Source organism: Homo sapiens, chromosome X (assembly GCF_000001405.40).
Source record: "Homo sapiens chromosome X, GRCh38.p14 Primary Assembly".
In the NCBI taxonomy this organism is placed as follows: domain Eukaryota; kingdom Metazoa; phylum Chordata; class Mammalia; order Primates; family Hominidae; genus Homo; species Homo sapiens.
This window is the reverse complement of record NC_000023.11, coordinates 32,876,211-32,894,662: the sequence shown is the minus strand read 5'-3', so window position 1 is coordinate 32,894,662 and position 18,452 is coordinate 32,876,211. Positions and strand designations below refer to the sequence as shown.

General features: G+C 39.4%; 1 protein-coding gene across 17 annotated transcripts in view, besides 2 other annotated features; it reads left to right on the top strand.

Annotated features, from left to right (window-relative positions):
- DMD (dystrophin) overlaps positions 1–18,452 on the top strand; it is a 2,220,167-nt gene that overhangs the window by 444,726 nt on the left and 1,756,989 nt on the right.
- Positions 5,095–5,260: a silencer, noted in NCBI's record as "fragment chrX:32907520-32907685 (GRCh37/hg19 assembly coordinates)". NCBI's record gives its function as "represses an EF-1alpha promoter that drives an FKBP-Casp9 reporter gene in an ReSE screen in phorbol 12-myristate 13-acetate-treated (for megakaryocytic differentiation) K562 erythroleukemia cells {active_cell/tissue: K562(+PMA)}" and the evidence as "EXISTENCE:reporter gene assay evidence [ECO:0000049][PMID:32094911]".
- Positions 16,676–17,177: an enhancer, noted in NCBI's record as "NANOG hESC enhancer chrX:32895603-32896104 (GRCh37/hg19 assembly coordinates)". NCBI's record gives its function as "activates a minimal SCP1, AML or CMV promoter by ChIP-STARR-seq in naive H9 embryonic stem cells {active_cell/tissue: H9 hESC(naive)}" and the evidence as "EXISTENCE:reporter gene assay evidence [ECO:0000049][PMID:30033119]".

Here is an 18,452-nt window from a genome sequence, read left to right as displayed (position 1 = left end):
AAGAGAGCCCTTCCTTGTCTATGAGGAACATCTGAGCCCCAAGTGCATCCCGTGGAACACGGGCCATACATACAGCGGATTGAGGCCCCGAGTTTTGGGTTGGATGAAGGTTGCCAGGTGAACGTCATTAAGGGCAGAGGGTTAAGTAAAAATGCTATATAAACTGCATGCTGCCCGCAAGCAGCGTTGGTTTGCCCGCTCATCCCACCGCCGCCATCACTACCACTGTGCTGCGAGGCTATCTTGTCCAGTCTGCCACCACTGGATCGTTTCTACAGGTAAGGCACTTCTCCTGTCCAGCCCACCACTACTGAATTCCCTCCCCTGTATGTAAACCTCTAATAAAACCCAATGCCTCGTTTGCTGGCTATGGGTTTCTTCCTCAGTCTCTTGAACCTGATGCCTTCGCTATTGAGGGTTATAGGGGTTCAGTACAACATCATGATGTGAACAAACGCGTTTATTTGGGCAGATGTATTGGTCAGCTCTCAAAACAATAATATCAAGTAATAATCATTACCTCCAACTTAATGGTTTTAAATAGCATTAATTCTCATGGTCATGCGGGGTTTGGCTGACCTAAGTTGATCTAGATTTGGTTCTGCATCAGGCTGGTAGTTGCTAGGCTTGGCTTTCAGCGGCAGGTTTGGTTTGGATTTCTTTGATGTGTCACGTCCAGAGGCACACACTGGAATGGCACCGGCCACCCAGTGCATGTTTTCATAGGTTGTCACTAGATAGCAAGCCCAAACATGCCAGCCCATCTCAAGGCTCTGCTCCTGTCATGTTTTCTTAACACCCCGTTGACCAAAGGCTATCACATTTCCCACCATAGGCTAGATATGCCATCCTATTAAGTAGGAATGAGAAAGTGGGGACCAATAAATCAACCTACAGTAGGAAAAGTAGGGGATTATTTAGTAGCACAAACAGATGAGTTTCAGTGGGCTTGCTGCTTTTTTGTGGATATGGAAGAAATACCTAAAAAAAAAAATTTCCAGCTCCACTACAATATTTAAGAAAAAACTTAGGTGTGTTCATAGTTTACTACTTTGCTTAATAACCCCACTGTTTATCACAGCAAATTTAATCACCTCTGAGGGGTTTTAATGGCTTTGATAAGACAAAGAGTAAATTACTGAGGAGGAAGACGGTCACTTTCACATCCTGAGAGATGCTAACTGTGCAAGGTAATTCACATATATCTTGTAAACATGTTTGCAAACATATATAGGAGATAGGTGGTATTCTCATTTTTTAAGGAAAGAAATGGAAGACATGAGAGAATGAGTAATATGTTTAAGAGGACACAGCTGGAAACTGGTATAATCTGGCTCTAAATACGGGCTTTTGTGTTACATTGAACAGAGATAAATTCAGCTTATGTTAAGGAAGCATGGGGTAAAAAGGTCAAGAAACTGAACAACTGAATAACCAAATAAGTAGGCGAAACCATTTGGTTACTCAGTTGTCTGACCAACCGAATAATCAAAACAAAAATGTCACATTAGAAAACTACGATCAGTGTAATTTTATGAATAATTGAACTATTGAGACCATAGTGTAGCAGCTGATCTATCACGTCATGGGATTCCATCATTCATTCTCATGAATTAACTACTCTCAGTCCTTGCTTTTAGCATTACCTCTACTCCCTAATGATACATGATTTTTACTCTAACATAAACTTCCCAGGAGAAAATGTCTGATAAATATCATAAAATCATGAAAATATCTGATAAAGTCATCATCCTGCATCATGTGTGGGAGACTTAAGTTTGTAACTCTTCCCATTCCTTTAAGTTGGTTTTCAGCCTTGCTTACACGATCATTGTGGCCAGAGAGACAGAATGTGCCAAGCGTGTAGGCCTGAGCTGGGAAACAATGTCAATAAGTAATACAGTATAGGGGATGAGAAGTTTGCCAAATAATACTTGGTGTGTAATGTTATGAAAGAAAGGGGGCATTAGAGGCCGGGTGGCTCACGCCTGTAATCCCAGCACTTCGGGAGGCTGAGGCGGGTGGATCACGAGGTCTAAGAGATCAAGACCATCCTGGCCAACATGGTGAAACCCCGTCTCTACTACAAATACAAAAAAAAATTAGCCGGGTGTGGTGGCAGGTGCCTGTAATCCCAGCTATTTGGGAGGCCGAGGCATGACAATCGCTTGAACCCAGGAGGCAGAGGTTGCAGTGAGCCGAGATCGCACCGTTGCGCTCCAGCCTGGGCAAAAAGAGTAGAACTCTGTCTCAAAGAAACAAAAAACAAAAAACGAAAACAAACAAAACAACATGGCGTGGGGGGCATCAGAAACACACAATGGTACAGATTTAAAAGCTCCTCGGGTGATGCTAATGTGTAGCCAGGGCTGAAAACCTAAAAGAAGAATGTGCAGTAATGTTGCCAGTACTGGAAGGAAGTGTCTGAGTTTTGTCTAGTGACTGACAGAAGGCTATGAAACTGTAACAGTTGTAAGGGGTTGAGGGAAAGCCGAGGCCAGATCATGTGGATCATGTGCAAATTGTAGGTAAAATGTAAAGCTGTGAGTTCTGTGGCCTCACTGAGGAAGCATTTCTCTGCTTTTCAGGAAGTAACTTGGAGTTGAGTGCTCTATGATTTCCAAGTTGTCAGCTAACACATTGAATAACTGATGAATTATGGTTCTGTGGCCTTCATTTCTGTGTCACGTGGCTATACTGTTCATTGGCATATGCAGGCAGTAACCCCCAAACTATGACGCGAGAGGATGGCAGGATTCCAGGTCTGAAGAGAAAAAATGATTAGGCTGGGGAAGAATGATTTGAGGAACCTCAAATCAGACTATGGCAGCAACTACTAGGTGTAGGGCTTCATGCCATCCAGCCTTGGAGTTGTCAGTTTTCTATTAATCTTTGCTAACAATAAAATACTAATGGGTACATAATGTAGTGATTTACAGATGATAGACTCTCCTTATGTTTTCATTTTGTCTCAACAGAGTCCAGCATATTTCATCCAAATTTTACTGATCAGAGAATTGAGGTACAGACAGACCATGAAGGTCATGACAGTTGGAAAGTGTTGGAGTAGAATAAGGAAGCCTGATTTTTCTCATTTGTCCTACATCGCTTTATTAGATTGTCTTCTCCAGCCTTACCTCCCCGCCTTATAATTCTTGATTTTCATGAAACCTATTAAAGGGAAAGAAAAGGAAAACTAGAAAATTTAATTTAGATCACTTTTAAAAATCACTTTGCATCTTGGACTGTTGTCATAAGTTATAGGATTAAATCCTAATGATTCTAATGTTGTTAGGCCATCTTAATTTATATGATCCACTTACCTCTCAGTCTTCTCTCACTGGCTCACTCACCTGCCCTCTGTATATGAGGGGATTGAGAAAAGTCTGTTTTTCATTATGTGTAGATACACAGACTGGTGTGTATGTAGCAGGAATAAATGTTCGCAAAACTCAGATGTGGAAGAAGTAACTCTGAATTTTTGCCCTATTTTTGAACTGTACTCCAGGCCAGTGCTGTCCAAAAGAAATATAAGCTATATATGTAATTTAAACTTTTTGAGTAGCCACTTTAAAAAGTGAAAATAAACAGGTGACATTAATGTTTTATTTAGCTAAAATATTTCAACATGTAATCAAAAAAGACTTAATGAGACATTTTACGTTAGTGAAAAGAATGTACTAAATCATTAAGGTTGGAGGATATTTTACATTTACAGCACATCTGAATTCAGTTGCCATATTTTCATGGGTTAAAGTAAACTTGTTCTCCCAAACCAATGAAGTTATGGTTAATGGAAGAATATTAAAAACTGTTTGTTTTCAATATAAATAAAATTGAAGCAAAAATAAAGCAAAATGAAAATTTGGCTTCCTCAGTTATGCTAGTCCCATTTCAAATGTTCAGTAGCCACATATAACTAGTGGCTATCTTACTGGACAACATAACCCCAGATCATGATAAAACGTTCTGATTTCCCGAATTTCTTTTTTTTAGACAATCTGGGATGTTTCGCCTTCTTACCAAAGAAACAAAAAGGTGCTGGTACTTTTTGTTTGCTTGTTTTTCAGCAGTTGCCATTGAAATGTGTTTCTTTTGGAGTTGGATAGGAAAAACCTAGATTCTTCCTCCAAGGTGTAGTCTCAACTGTGCCCCAGGCATCACTGTTTATGATGGATTAAGGGTGTGGCTTTTCCCAGATAATGAGTCCCCCTCCCCCACCCCCCACAGGCCTTAATATCTACAGCTCCTGTCAATAGACTGGCCTTTCCTTCCCCGCGAAAAGTTTGAGTCCTTTAAGAATCTAGGTCTAAGGTTAATTTCAACGAAAGGTTTATTTTCTCTTTCTGCGAGGACCTATGGAACTACCCAGAACATATAAAGCAGTCCACAAGGCTCTTCAACAGCTTCGTAACCGGGCACTGCTAGTTCAGAAACTCACTGACTTCTGAATGTCCATTTCACATTTGCAGGCTGCTTCTCTGAGTCCTGAGCTCTTGTCTCAAGATGACTTGGCTCTTAATTGTTGTCTGATTTATTACCGGTTTGCTTTGCAGTTTAGGTGCTGGACAATGATTCTTAGAAATCCCCACATAAGGATCTACATGCAGTGGCAGTGAATCTCAATAACTGCCTTTTCTTGAATCTGAACTTAATTTATATATAAAGCCTACTTTCCGGTAGATCCTGCATATTTCATCTCAGCCAATTTAGGACTGAGATGCCCCCCCTTTCTCTGGGGTTTTGTCTTAAATTTCTGGAGGGGACCTGATTGTCACGCCCCTCCGAGTGAAGAGACCACCAAACAGGCTTTGTGTGAGCAACAAGGCTGTTTATTTCACCTGGGTGCAGGTGGGCTGAGTCTGAAAAAGGAGTCAGCCAAGGGTGGTGGGATTATCATTAGTTCTTACAGGTTTTGGGATAGGCGGTGGAGTTAGGAGCGATGTTTTGCGAGCAGGGGGTGGATCTCACAAAGTACATTCTCAAGGGTGGGGAGAATGACAAAGAACCTTCTTAAGGGTGGGGGAGATTACAAAGTACATTGATCAGTTAGGGTGGGGCAGAAACAAATCACAATGGTGGAATGTCATCAGTTAAGGCTATTTTCACTCTTTTGTGGATCTTCAGTTGCTTCAGGCCATCTGGATGTATAAGGGCAGGTCACAGGGGATATGATGGCTTAGCTCAGAGTCCTGACACTGATACAGTGCCAGGATTTGAAGGCGGGTGTGGCTTACCTGATTTCATGTACAATTCATCCCATAGGGACCTTGTTCCTTGGCCTCAAGTTGTAGGCCCTTTCATATCTCTGTACGGTCAAGAAACATGGTGGTTCCCTTGTCATTCTTCATCCTCCAAAAACCCATTGAGCACTGTGTTTGCTGGAGGCATGTGGGAAATTATTCTACTGTACCCTATATCCTGCTGAAGTGCCTGGGTACTGGGTGGCTAGCTCATGTCCATTTGCTAAGACACATGCTCACGATTCTTGCCTGGGTCTGACATAACTTTGGAGTCTTGTTGCATTCCTGGGCTGGACTCTGGAATGGGACCCAATTACTTCTGCACCTGGATACCCCCAACCTTCTCTGTTGTGGTGGCGGTTCTTTCACCATCCCCTCCTCTCAGGAACACACTCTTGTTTCTACTTTACATTCTCCATCCAGTCCAGGAAAATAGTATCTAGGCTCAGAGACGGAGAAAATAGTGTCTATATTTCACATTTTTTTCCAAAAAAAAAAATTATAATTTTCCGTGCCTGGACTTGAGAATTTGAAAACTCCAAAATCCTCCAGGTTCAACCACATTGTTCCCAATTACAGGATTTTCTTATTAAAGTTGAATAGTGTTCCATTGTGTGTATATTCCACATTTTTGAATCCGTTCATCTGTTGATGGTTACTTAGGTTGATTCCATATCTTGTCTAATGTGAATACTGCCACAATAAACACGGGTGTGCAGATATCTACTTGATATACTGATGTCATTTCCTTAGGTATGTACCCAGTAGTGAGATTGCTGGATTGTATGGTAGTTCTATTTTTATTTTTTTTTGAAGAACTTCCTGCTGTTTTCCATAATGGCTGTACCTATTTATGTTCCCATTAAGGGTCCAAGGTTTCCCTCTTTTCCATATTCTCACCAACACTAGTTATCCTTTGTCTTTTTGAGAATAGCCATTCTGACAGGTGTGGGGTGATAGCATATTGTTTTAATTTGCAGTTACCTGACTAATGATAAGCATTTTGTCATATACCTGTTGTCCATTTGTTTCCCTTAAGACATGCTCGTTGAGACATGGACACGGGGAGGGGAACATGACAGACCGGAGCCTGTGGGGGTGGGGGCGTAGGGAGCAAGGGGAGGGAGAGCATTAGGACAAATACCTAATGCACACAGGACTTAAAACCTAGATGACGGGTTGATAGATGCAGCAAACCACCATGGCACATGTATACCTATGTAAGAAGCCTGCACGTTCTGCACATGTATCCCAGAACTTAAAAAAAATAAAAAATAAAAATTCAGTTCCTTAATCACAGTTGCCACTGTGATTTTACTTTGTCATATTTTAAAAGCTTTTTTATTTCAAAAAAAAAGTCTGTTGAGGTCCTTTGCCCATATTTAATTGGGTTGTTGTATTGCTATTGAGTTTAAGGTTTCTTATATATTTTTGGATATTAATCAGAGTGAAGGGACAACTCATGGAGCAGGAGAAAATATTTGTATACCATATACCTGAAAAGGGATTATTTCCTTGGCTGTGCAGAAGCTGTTTAGGTTGATGCAACTTCATTTGTCTATTTTTATTTTTGTTGCCTATGCTCTTGGGTTCATATCCAAAAAATCCTTGCCCAGACCAATGTCATAAGCTTTTAGTTGATGTTTTTTTTTTTTTTTTTTTTTTTTTTTTTTTGAGACAGTCTTGCTTTGTCACCCAGGCTGGAATGCAATGGTGCGGTCTAGGCTCACAGCAACCTCCACCTTCCGGGCTCCAGTGATTCTCCTGCCTCAGCCTCCTGAGTAGCTGGGACTACAGGCGCTCACCACAACGACCGGCTAATTTTTGTATTTTTAGTAGAGACGGGGTTTCGCCATGTTTGCCAGGCTGGTCTCAAACCCCTGACCTCATGATCTGCCCGCCTCAACCTCCCAAAGTACTGGGATTACAGGCATGAGCCACCTCTCATAGTCCATGTTTTCTTCTAGTAGTTTTAGTTTCAGGTTTTACCTGTAAGTCTTTAATCCATTTTGAGTCGATTCTTGTATATAACAGATAAGGGTCCAATTTTCTTTTTATTTATTTATTTTTTTTGAGATGGATTCTTGCTCTGTCATCCAGGCTGGAGTGCAGTGATGGGATCTCGGCTCACTGCAAGCTCCGCCTCCCGGGTTCACACCATTCTCCTGCCTCAGCCTCCCAAGTAGCTGGGACTACAGGCTCCTGTCAGCACGCCCGGCTAATTTTTTGTATTTTTAGTAGAGACGGGGTTTCACCGTGTTAGCCAGGATGGTCTCGATCTCCTGACCTCGTGATCTGCCCGCCTCAGCCTCCCAAAGTGCTGGGATTACAGGTGTGAGCCACCATGCCCAGCTGTAAGGGTCCAATTATTAATATTCCCAATTGAATGGAAGAAGTAAAAGGAAACAAAATTAACCATATTCTCACTTAAAGTCATTGTTATCATTTTGGCATATTTCATTGGGTTCCTTTTTACCCGAAATGAGGGTTTTCTGCTATTTATTTAGATGTGATCGTGCTATATTTATGACTTTTCACCCTTTTTTACTATCACATAAGTGATTTTAGGTTATTATAGACACACTTTAAATGTTCACATAATGACCACTTATTCTAAAGTTAGGCATTTAGTTTTTTATTTTTGTTGTTCTAAATAACCCAGTAGACCATTTTGTTTCCTTTTAGACAGCTTCCAGCGCATGAAATTATTAGGTCAAAGGATATTACCTTTTTTTTTGAGACGGAGTCTTGCTCTGTCGCCCAGGCTGGAGTGCAGTGGCGCGATCTCGGCTCACTGCAAGCTTCGCCTCCTGGGTTCACGCCATTCTCCTGCCTCAGCCTCCCGAGTAGCTGGGACCACAGGCGCCTGCCACCACGCCTGGCTAACTTTTTGTATTTTTAGTAGAGACGGGGTTTCACCGTGTTCGCCAGGATGGTCTCGATCTCCTGACCTTGTAATCTTCCCACCTCGGCCTCCCAAAGTGCTGGGATTACAGGCTTGAGCCACCGTGCCCAGCCAGGATATTAACATTTTTTAAAGGGTCTTTATATGTATCGCAAAAATACTTAGCAAAATTATTATTATTATTATTTTTTACCAGTTTACACTGCCCACCAAGAAGCTATAAGGACACCTAAATTGTCACATAAAACTGTGTATGGATAAATATCTCTATTTTATAAACCACTTGGTATAACCAAAATCCTGCTTTTGAGATATTAAATTTTGAAGCTAACATTCTTAGCATGTTTTTAAAATAATACTGACTTCATGAGCTAATACCCATAATGATAAAATGATTTTATATTCCAGGAAAGCTGCCATGTGGGATTGAATGTTTTATATATGATACACTTTTATCTACATATGTTGTTATACAGTCATTGGTACCTTTTTATTAGATGAATTTATTTCATATTCAGTTTCCACTGAATTGTATTCAGCTTGACTACAAATTAGTCAAGCAGAATAAGAATGTGAGTTTTATTGTGACTAATATATATTTGGAGTCTAGATTTGGAGAGACAAGGGGTGAGTAAAACTGTGTGCCTACTACCTGAAAGGAAAGGTTTTTTTTTTTTTTTTTTTTTTCCCCCTCAAGGGAAACAATTACGGAGACTGCCCAGGCATTTAATATTTTATTGAAATATTCTAAACCCTCAAATTTCGCTTCTACATTTTATGTGATGCATCAGAAAAACACTATTTTATTTGTTTTATAATTCTCCAATAGGGAAATTTCAACACATTGTAAGTTTCTTTATTTAACAACATCATCTAGCTTTTAATAACTGACTTTCATACACATTTTTAAAAGCAGGCTAATCGTTATAGCTTAATATATTTTTCATGAGATTTAGTGATAACATGATCACTTATACCAGTAGTTTATCTCCTGAATCATTTTAAAAAGTAATGTGCATGTTTTCTTTATATTTATATACAATTGGGAAGCTTAATATTTATGAAAATATGATTGACTTTTTTTTGTCATTTCTCTTCAAAGCCTTAGGCTTTGCAGTTATCAGTAGTGCAGTTCCAAGATGCAAAGTCATAAACTTACCTTTCATTCTCTTTAGTAGGCTTAATATTTTGAATCTAGCCATAGGAAGCAGCCTGAAACCTCTAATCGAAATCAAAGATAACACCACAGGGGTACAATATCTCTAATTTGTCTTGGAATGATGCGGTAGCTTCCCTTGACTGCTGTGATTAAATTCATTCTGGTTTGTTCAGTTAATGAGATTAGCACATCTTAACCCATAGGAAATATTGTCTTTATGGGCCTATGACTCTGAACAGATTAGCATCATGATCAGAAAAATAATTTTTAATAAATGATTACGTGTGAGTGGTGCTAGGCTAGGATCCCTACAAATCTGGCAAGAGCATATTCCTTGACCTTCAGCATTATATGACTTTATAAGACACAGCATTTTCTCAGGCATGGGTATAAATACAGTTAAATATGTACTATAAAACTAAAGAACAGCCTGAAATTTAAGAACTACAAGAATTTGTGCTTGTCATTAAGCTGGAGATAAAGTTAACATCCTGAGAAGATGTAAAGGCGACAGTGATACACTTCTCCTTGTTTGGTAGGATCATTTCCACACTTGTCTGTACTTGGAATTGTAAGGTGATGAGTCCCTTAATGATTTCTTATTGCAAGTTTGAACCTAGTGTATTTCATGGTAATAGACTAAGGGGAATGAGTATATGAAATGAGTTCCAGTGTATTGATGAAACTTAGAGTTGCGTAGAGTGGAGCATAGCTTAGTAGAAACTTGAGCAAGTTACTGTAGCACATGGTCCTGGTTCCAATTCCAGCAACATCTGTTAGTTTTAGGACTTGGTGCAACTTGTTCAAATTTTCTGTCAGACTCTCCATTGGTTTAAAAAATAAAATTCAAAATATTGACAAATATTGCCTTCCTGAATTTTTTGGTGAATATTAAGTTAGATGATGTATATAAAGTGCCTGGCCCATAGTAAGGGCTCAATAAAAGTAGCTGTTGGTACCGCTTTTAACTAATTGTTGTTAAATTGATTGGTTAATTATATATTTCCCTGCCACTTAACTGTCACTCAACAGCTTTTCCTCATTTCCTGCCTACCTGATTGGAAATCATTATGTTGAATATGTCTAGAATTATCACTGGGCCTGCTGTATTCCCTGGGTGGTATGTTTGTATAGGTTGAACCACTAAAGAAAATCTTTTCGGATGAGTTACTTTCCTATGTCACCCTACTATTTCCTAGTGGGAACTTTAAGTTCCTTCAGTCTGGGGTCAAGACTAGTCTTAGTATAGGGGACATTGGGAATATTGAGGATGGCATGTTTAAGTAACATTGTATGTATTGGTCAAGAAAAAACAGGCAAGGGATAGAGTACATCAAAACCAGAAAACCTATGTACTTACCTTTCCATTTCTGTCTTTATTAGATATGTTGAGTTTATTTCAAGTGCCTCTATAGAACATCTACAGAACATTAATATTAAGAATATCATGAAAAGGGATACATTTTTAAGAGCCTAAATTTTGGATAAAATGGAAGTCATTTTCTTTTTTTTTTTTTTTTTTTTTTTTTTTTGAAACAGAGTCTTGCTCTGTCACCCAGGCTGGAGTGCAGTGGCATGATCTCGGCTCACTGCAACCTCTGCCTCCCGGGTTCACGCCATTCTCCTGCCTCAGCCTCCCAAGTAGCTGGGACTACAGGTGCCCGCCACCATGCCCGGCTAATTTTTTGTATTTTTAGTAGAGACGGGGTTTCACCGTGTTAGCCAGGGTGGTCTCGAACTCCTGACCTCGTGATCCACCTGGCTCGGCCTCCCAAAGTGCGGGGATTACAGGCGTGAGCCACCGCGCCTGGCCATGGAAGCCATTTTCTAACAACAAATTTAATTTGTGAAAAGCTGGTAGCATGTTAACTCTAGAATGACAATTTTTTAAAAGGAAAATTCCAAAGTTAAAGGGAAAAAATATTGGGGTAGTGCCAGCTAGTATCAGGATTTATACTTTAAAAATGCATAAGAAAGAAGCAATTACCAGTGTCCAAATAAGAAATGAGAGTAATAGAAAACTCAGATTTCATTGTATTATAAATTTAATAAATAAGTTACACAATTGCCGTTCAGTGCCTGAAATTGATTTTTCTTTTTTTGAGGTCAAACTTCAACCATGTATATGAAATGTAAGAGCAACTTTCTAAGCAGAATTACCCTTTCTGATTTCCTTGGGTTCCTTTTGGTTCTTTAATCTGTATGACTAAGAGTGTGGATTGGCTGACATTATGAGATGCAATTAATTTACATGCTTAAGTTAGGACTATACCATCCTGTTTCCATCCATTCTTGATCACAAGCATATTACAAATGCTGTGCTGGATTATCTTTACTATTAAGACATACTGCAGAAAGCCCTGCAGGTAAAGAAAACAATCTAGGGCTTACCTTAGAGGCAGGAAGAATTGCATGTTAAGAAAGCTGCATACACTCTGGCTTTTTGCTCTTTGAGTTTAGCTCAATGTCTTCCTAAACTTTGGTGTGCAGGAGGTGACTACGCAGTATTTAAAATCTAATCCATATTATGTGTATAGTATGGATGGTATAGCAATTTTCCAGGTGGATTTTTGACAATATTTTATTTTTTACTATTCATGTTGACTTTGAAAAATAACTACAGGGCTAGATTTGATTCAACTGTCCATGGTTAGAATTTTTAAAAAAGTTTTTGACTCTAATACAACTGAGTTCCATCTACAGAAAGAATGCACATATGGATACGGCTGTCCAGAAGATCAAATATCCTTGTACTGAAGTATATCTATATTTAGTCATTATTTTATAAAAGTAGTAGAAAACAATAGTGGAATATAATATGTGGTCTTTGGAAGAATGAGAAATCATCCTTACCCATTAAACACAGACCCAACACTTAATGTATTTCCATTTTGATAGTGACAAGTTTTGGGTTTGGGATGATGTGTCAGCCAGGGTCAGTTAACAGACAGAAACCACTTGAGTGACTGTAGCAGAAAATAATGTAACAAGAGGAATTGGGATCTAGGTATTGAAAAATTGACAAAGAGAAGAGGTAGCAAGTGCACAAAGTAGCTACCGCTCCTAGGGCTGGGAAGACAAAAGGTTAGAATTACTAACACTTAGAACCCTTGAGGAAGGACTCTACAAAGCTGAGCTCAGGTCTGAGTAGGGGGCTGCTACGTGGCTGGTGCTACCCTCTCTGGGATAGCAGGAAGGGCCCAATGGGACTGAGGCCCGGACCTCTGCCAGCCAGGTGGTGCTGGTATTTCTGCAGCAGGGGCGATGAAGCTGATTCTCTAAGCTTTTGAAAAACAAAACACAAGCTAAATTGAATAGCTTGTTACTAAAAAGTGCTGCTGCAGGCATGAAGAAGCACGTCTAGGGAACTGCTAATAAGGACAGTAAGTGCATGGGAAGCTAGTGTGAATGAGTAAATCCTTTGTCCCTCCTCCAGGCTTGCAGTCTCCCTCTATTGCTCCCTACCTTTAGATTCTGAGAGTCAGTCAGTAAAGCCAGAAGTACGGTTTGCAGAGTCTTTGCCTCAGCGTTGCAAAGTAGGGTTTAGAAGGGTGTGTTGGTATGGCTCTGAGGAAGATAAAATCTCTAACCAGCATGAGTGCTAATATGTCTAATAAGATATATGGAAAATAATTATTAAGTATTTGACTGAATTTCAAGGATTAAAAAGCAATACTTAAGGCAACAAAAACATCTTATATTTCCATTAAAGCATAATTTTTCTTACAGCTCCTTCACATTGGCAAAATTAGTTTGCCCTCTTGAATTTTTCAAAGATGTGAATTATGGCAAGTAATAATTGCTGCCTACTATTGAATATCTGGATGTTGTAGAACTGCCATTGTATCATATTTAACTTATTTTTGAGAGTGTTAGATTTCCTCTGATAGAAGATATTTTTTACTTTTCCAAGATTAATAGTAGAAATATTGAACATCAAATCATTTTACAGATAATACTGTCCTAACATTGCGTAAGTATACAATTATTCATAGACTCAGAAATCATAATTGTCTTCACAGAAAGAAACCAGTTCAGAATACTTTAAGAACTATTTGGAATGTTAGATTTAAAATATTCTGTAGCCAAGGTAAAGCAAGTTAGCTAAAATTCCTTTTGTTTCTATTGTTTTTAGAACTAGCTTCAAAGAGAAAGAATTTGATAAATACTTAGTGTCCAATAGGCTCTTTCATACAGTTCAAAGATGTAGACTGACACTGGCATCTACAGTTCCTAGCTGTACTTACTCTGGTATTTTTTGCCAGCTGCCTTCGTGGTTTCTGCTTCATACCTGTTTGTATTCATAAATAACTCAATCTAAGATTTTTAGCTTTTTAAAAAGAATTGCATACAATCATCATCAGATTACAGGTTTGAAAGAAATCTTAGTTTTTTTCTTTTTCTTTTTTTTGAGATGGAGTTTTGCTGTCGTTGCCCAGGCTGGAGTGCGATGGCGCAATATCGGCTCACCGCAACCTCCGCCTTCTGGGTTCAAGCGATTCTCCTGCCTCAGCCTCCTGAGTAGCTGGGATTACAGGCATGCGTCACCACACCTGGCTAATTTTGTATTTGTAGTAGAGATGAGGTTTCTCCATGTTGGTCAGGCTGGTCTCGAACTCCCGACCTCAGGTGGTCTTCCCACCTCGGCCGTCTAAAGTGCTGGGATTACAGGCGTGAGCCACTGCGCCTAGCCCAGAAATCTTAGTCTTTTTAACTCAGTTTTGAGATTCTGCCATATACCTGGCACTGTAGTTAAGAGATGGCATATAAATGGGAAAAATAGGTATTTCAAAAGCAATCAAAAGCAATTACAAGACTATATAGTATGTCCTACCACGGGGGTATGCATGGGAGCAGAAGGAAGAAGAGACGAATTTTGCTTGGCTAGGGTTGTATTGGGGTTGAAATTGATATCAACTATAGACTAGAAACTTAAAGGGATTTTCATGCCAACAAGAGTACAACAGGCCATTCAAGTCCATCTCTTCCAAACATTGATTAAACATCTTTTATAGGCAGACAATCAGTTAGTTGCTAAGAAGACTAAGCTGAAAAAGGCTTTTTTTTTTTTGGCCCTGTTGGAGCTTTCAGCCTATTGGCTGATTAAAAAAAAAAAAAAATGCTGAGGAGTATGAAGTCACAAACCAATTGAGTTCAGGAACCAGTAAGTAGTTTGACATGACCGTAATGGAGGTTTTGGGATATGGGCAATTGGCAAAAAATTGAAAAGGATGCGGGAAAGGTGGACTGGGGATACAATGTGGATGGATGATTCCTTGCTCAATTGAGATGAATGTGTTCAAAAAAACCAGGAAGTTTTTTTTTATGTTTTGCATATTAGAAAGTTACATTTGGTGGCTATATGCAGAATCGTGTATGGGGAGAGTACAGGTGTGGAGGTCACTCATGAGGCTAATGTCTATTCAAATGGGAGAAGAGGAAGGTCTGAAAGGCAATCACTATTGGAATACATGCAAGTACATCTAGCATTGTTCTGTCTTTCTGAAGATGTGGAAATGAAGCTCTCTCAGAATTAAATGACAACATGCCATGGCTGTTTGTTAGAGGGAATGGAAGTAGAGATTGAAGGTCTTGATTTCCAGCTGATCATCCTTTTTATGGTACCATACCACTCACCCAGCCTGTTGAACTGGAAAAGATTATGAACATCAGGCATTAACCTACCAAAGTAAAGCAAAACAAAAACGCTGAACTTCTCCATATTTTTAAAAATATGTGACACATATATGTTTATTGGAAATTAAAATACAGTAAAGGCTCTTTAACTGTCATTCAATAAATATTTTTTGAATGAACGACGATCACTTGTCAATAACTGGTATTAAAAAAGACAAATATTAATGGTGATCTTTATTCAATAATTTCATAAAATGGGAACAAAGTGGTAATTTGCCAGTAGGATGAGGAGGGCATAGCAGAGGTTGTCTAACCTTTTGGCAAGGGCAAAGTCAAACTGGTGAATAAGCAACACAAGCTGTGATGAGAGTCATGTGCCATATGTAAATGGTGACTCTTTCTTCCTCCAATGCTGTTTATCACCACAGGCTTCCCAGCGGCCCAAGAACAGTCTGCCGCAGTCACTGGCATTAATAAATGCCATCTCTACCTGAATGCCCTTCTTTTCAAATTTTTACCAAAAGGAAGATAGTAGACTTTCAGTTTTCCTTCTGGCTGTGAGAGGCATAGGGAGAATAACGGTAACAGATGCAGGAATAAAAAGGCTTGATACACATGGATATTATGTCATGAGGGATTCAGGAGTTTATATTAATATACAAATATTAGTTGTTTTTTTTTTGTTTGTTTTTTGTTTTTTGTTTTTTTTTTGAGACGTAGTCTTGGTCTGTCGCCTAGGCTAGAGTGCAGTGGTGCTGTCTCAACTCAATGCAACCTCCGCCTCCCGGGTTCAAGCAACTCTCCTGCCTCAGCCTCCCCAGTAGCTGGGATTACAGGTACCTGCCACTGTGCCCGGCTAATTTTTGTGTTTTTAATAGAGATGGGGTTTCTCCATCTCGGTCAGGCTGGTCTCGAACTCCTGACCTCGTGATCCACCTGCCTCAGCCTCCCAAAGTGTTGGGCTTACAGGCATGAGCCATTGCACCTGGCCCCAATATTACGATTTATCCTGCCCTACCTCACCACTCTTTTCATGATTAGAGATGGAAAAATTTGATATTATTTAAAAATCAGTAAGATTCTATCTAATCAAACCATTGGCAGTATAATTCACAACTTTTTTAGAGATTTTCTAAAGTAATACAGATACTGTAGTATTGTAGTTTTGTAGTATAGCTACAAGAAAATCATACTGTGCTCTGAAATGCTATCTTAGTAACATATTGTGTTAATGGATTATAATGGTAATCAAAACCTCCATAGAGCTACAGGTTTGAACTCTAACATTCTGTCGAAGTTAAAGATTAATCAGTTTAACACCATATTATTTTTATTATTTTTGAGACGTAGTCTCACTCTGTCGCCCAGGCTGGGGTGCAGTGGAGCAATCTCGGCTCACTGCAAGCTCCGCCTCCCAGGTTCATGCCATTCTCCTGCCTTAGCCTCCCGAGTAGCTGGGACTACAGGCGCCCGCCACTACACCCGGCTAATTTTTGTCTTTTTATTAGAGAGAGATGGGGTTTCACCGTGTTAGCCAGGATGGTCTTGATCTCCTGACCTCGTGATCCGCCCTCCTCGGCCTCCCAAAGTGCTGGGATTACAGGCGTGAGCCACCGCGCCCGGCCCATTCCTAGTATTTTCAAATAGAAATCTGATGCCTTTATTACTGTAATTAGAGGAATGCTTATGTTTCAGGTTGGGTTTTGGTAAAGCCCATGTGGAGAGGAGAATTTGCATGAAAGTAGTTTAATTAAGGAAATGTTCTCAGGGATGGCAAGTAGGTGAGCAAGAGAAGTAGAATAGGAATGGGGAAGAAATCATGCAAGGAGCAATCGCAGGCAAAGTGCCAGCCTCAGTCTGGTTCTGCAGGAAAACCTGGGCCTAAACTATGCTTCAGCTTGTTGCAACTTGATACAGAAGGAGCTGGGCTTTTGTATTCCAGTAGTCACCAGTCATTGCCTTAAGACTACCCTAAGGTGACATAAACACCAAGGCACTTCCGGATCTCTGTTTTTGTTGGCAAAGCAGCTTTACTAGCCTGAAGACAGTCATCTAAAGAGATGTAGATACAGAAGTTTTGAGAAGCAAAGACCACAAAAGCCAAGGAGGTGGGCACGCAGAAGTGTTAATGGAATCTTAGTGGATCTGGATAAAACACGATTTTTTGGCTATAACCTCTAAAGGGCTAACTTTCAGAAGATTACGTGGACCCAATTAAGCACTTACCTGAATAATTTTGAAACATCTCTAATTGTACTATAGCTAGAGTTAAAAGAAAAAATATTTTCTAATATAAACAAAAAGTTCAGAATTATAGCATTATTAAAGAAGCTTTTTTCAAATGTTAGCATTCCTGCTTCTTGACTTTACATTTTTCCGGAACAAAATAGTTTTCCAAAGAGTATACTTAATGACTTGTGCAGATGAATTCTAAATGATAACCACAGGGCTCTTGGACAAGGGATCATTTAAATTTTGAGTTCTTGTCAGTCAGACATATCAATCCATATACATTTCCCCAACCAGGGTGTCAGAAGTGTAGTCAAGTGAGTTTTGTAATGATACTTCTTTGTTTACATCTAGCTGCAGAAACCTCTTAAGACTGATTCTGCATCAGAATAATTGCTAGAGGGAAAAGGGAAGCTGTGATTATGAAATAACACTGTTATCCACTGGCACCCCTTTGTGTCTATCTTAGTTGAAGCTTTGAGGCACTTCTGTGTCTATTATTTGATTTTAATTGGCAATGGTATTGATTATAAATCATTTGACAGAATATAATTTTTATCTTAAAGTTTAAATGTACCTAGAGGCTACAAAGATTCCTGCGTTCAATGAAAACATTAAAGTAATAGTGTAAGTAGTTTAAATGTGCCCCATTTGGCACAGATTAGTGTCACCTATGGTACAACTCAGTCAAAAAGTGAATGTAGCTGAAAACTGAAACTGTTCAACAGCTCCAAATTTAAGAAACACGGAACATTCACTATGTGCAATAGACAATGCTAGTTTTAGTAGGGGATTAAAAAAAAATATCTTTCAGCCAGGGGCTCATAAAGTAGTGAGGAAACCTACAACAACTTCAAGTCAGATAATGACAATATGTCATTAAGGGACATGAACAAATGACCGAGAGACCGCAAGATCAGGAGGGACTTTTTTTGGAGTTGGTTATAAAGGAATGGCAAGGCACATGGGAATCAAGAATTCATTCAAACAGAGCCTTGAAGAAAGGTGTTGGTGGAGTGGAAGGCTAGAACACAAAAATACAATCTACAGAATAAGAAAGCACTAGGGGGCAACTGTGGTTGGAGTACTTACAAGAACGGTTTAGGAAAATAACTAGTTGTACTACATAGACTAAATTGGATAACTGTCAAGATTTGAGGATTATAGGTGAAGAAACCATTTTAGAGTTTATTATAACTGACATTTTGTATCTAGAGACAACAGGGATATCAGTATTGATGTAATTAAAGGATGTGGCAAGAATGAGGTGAAAATAACT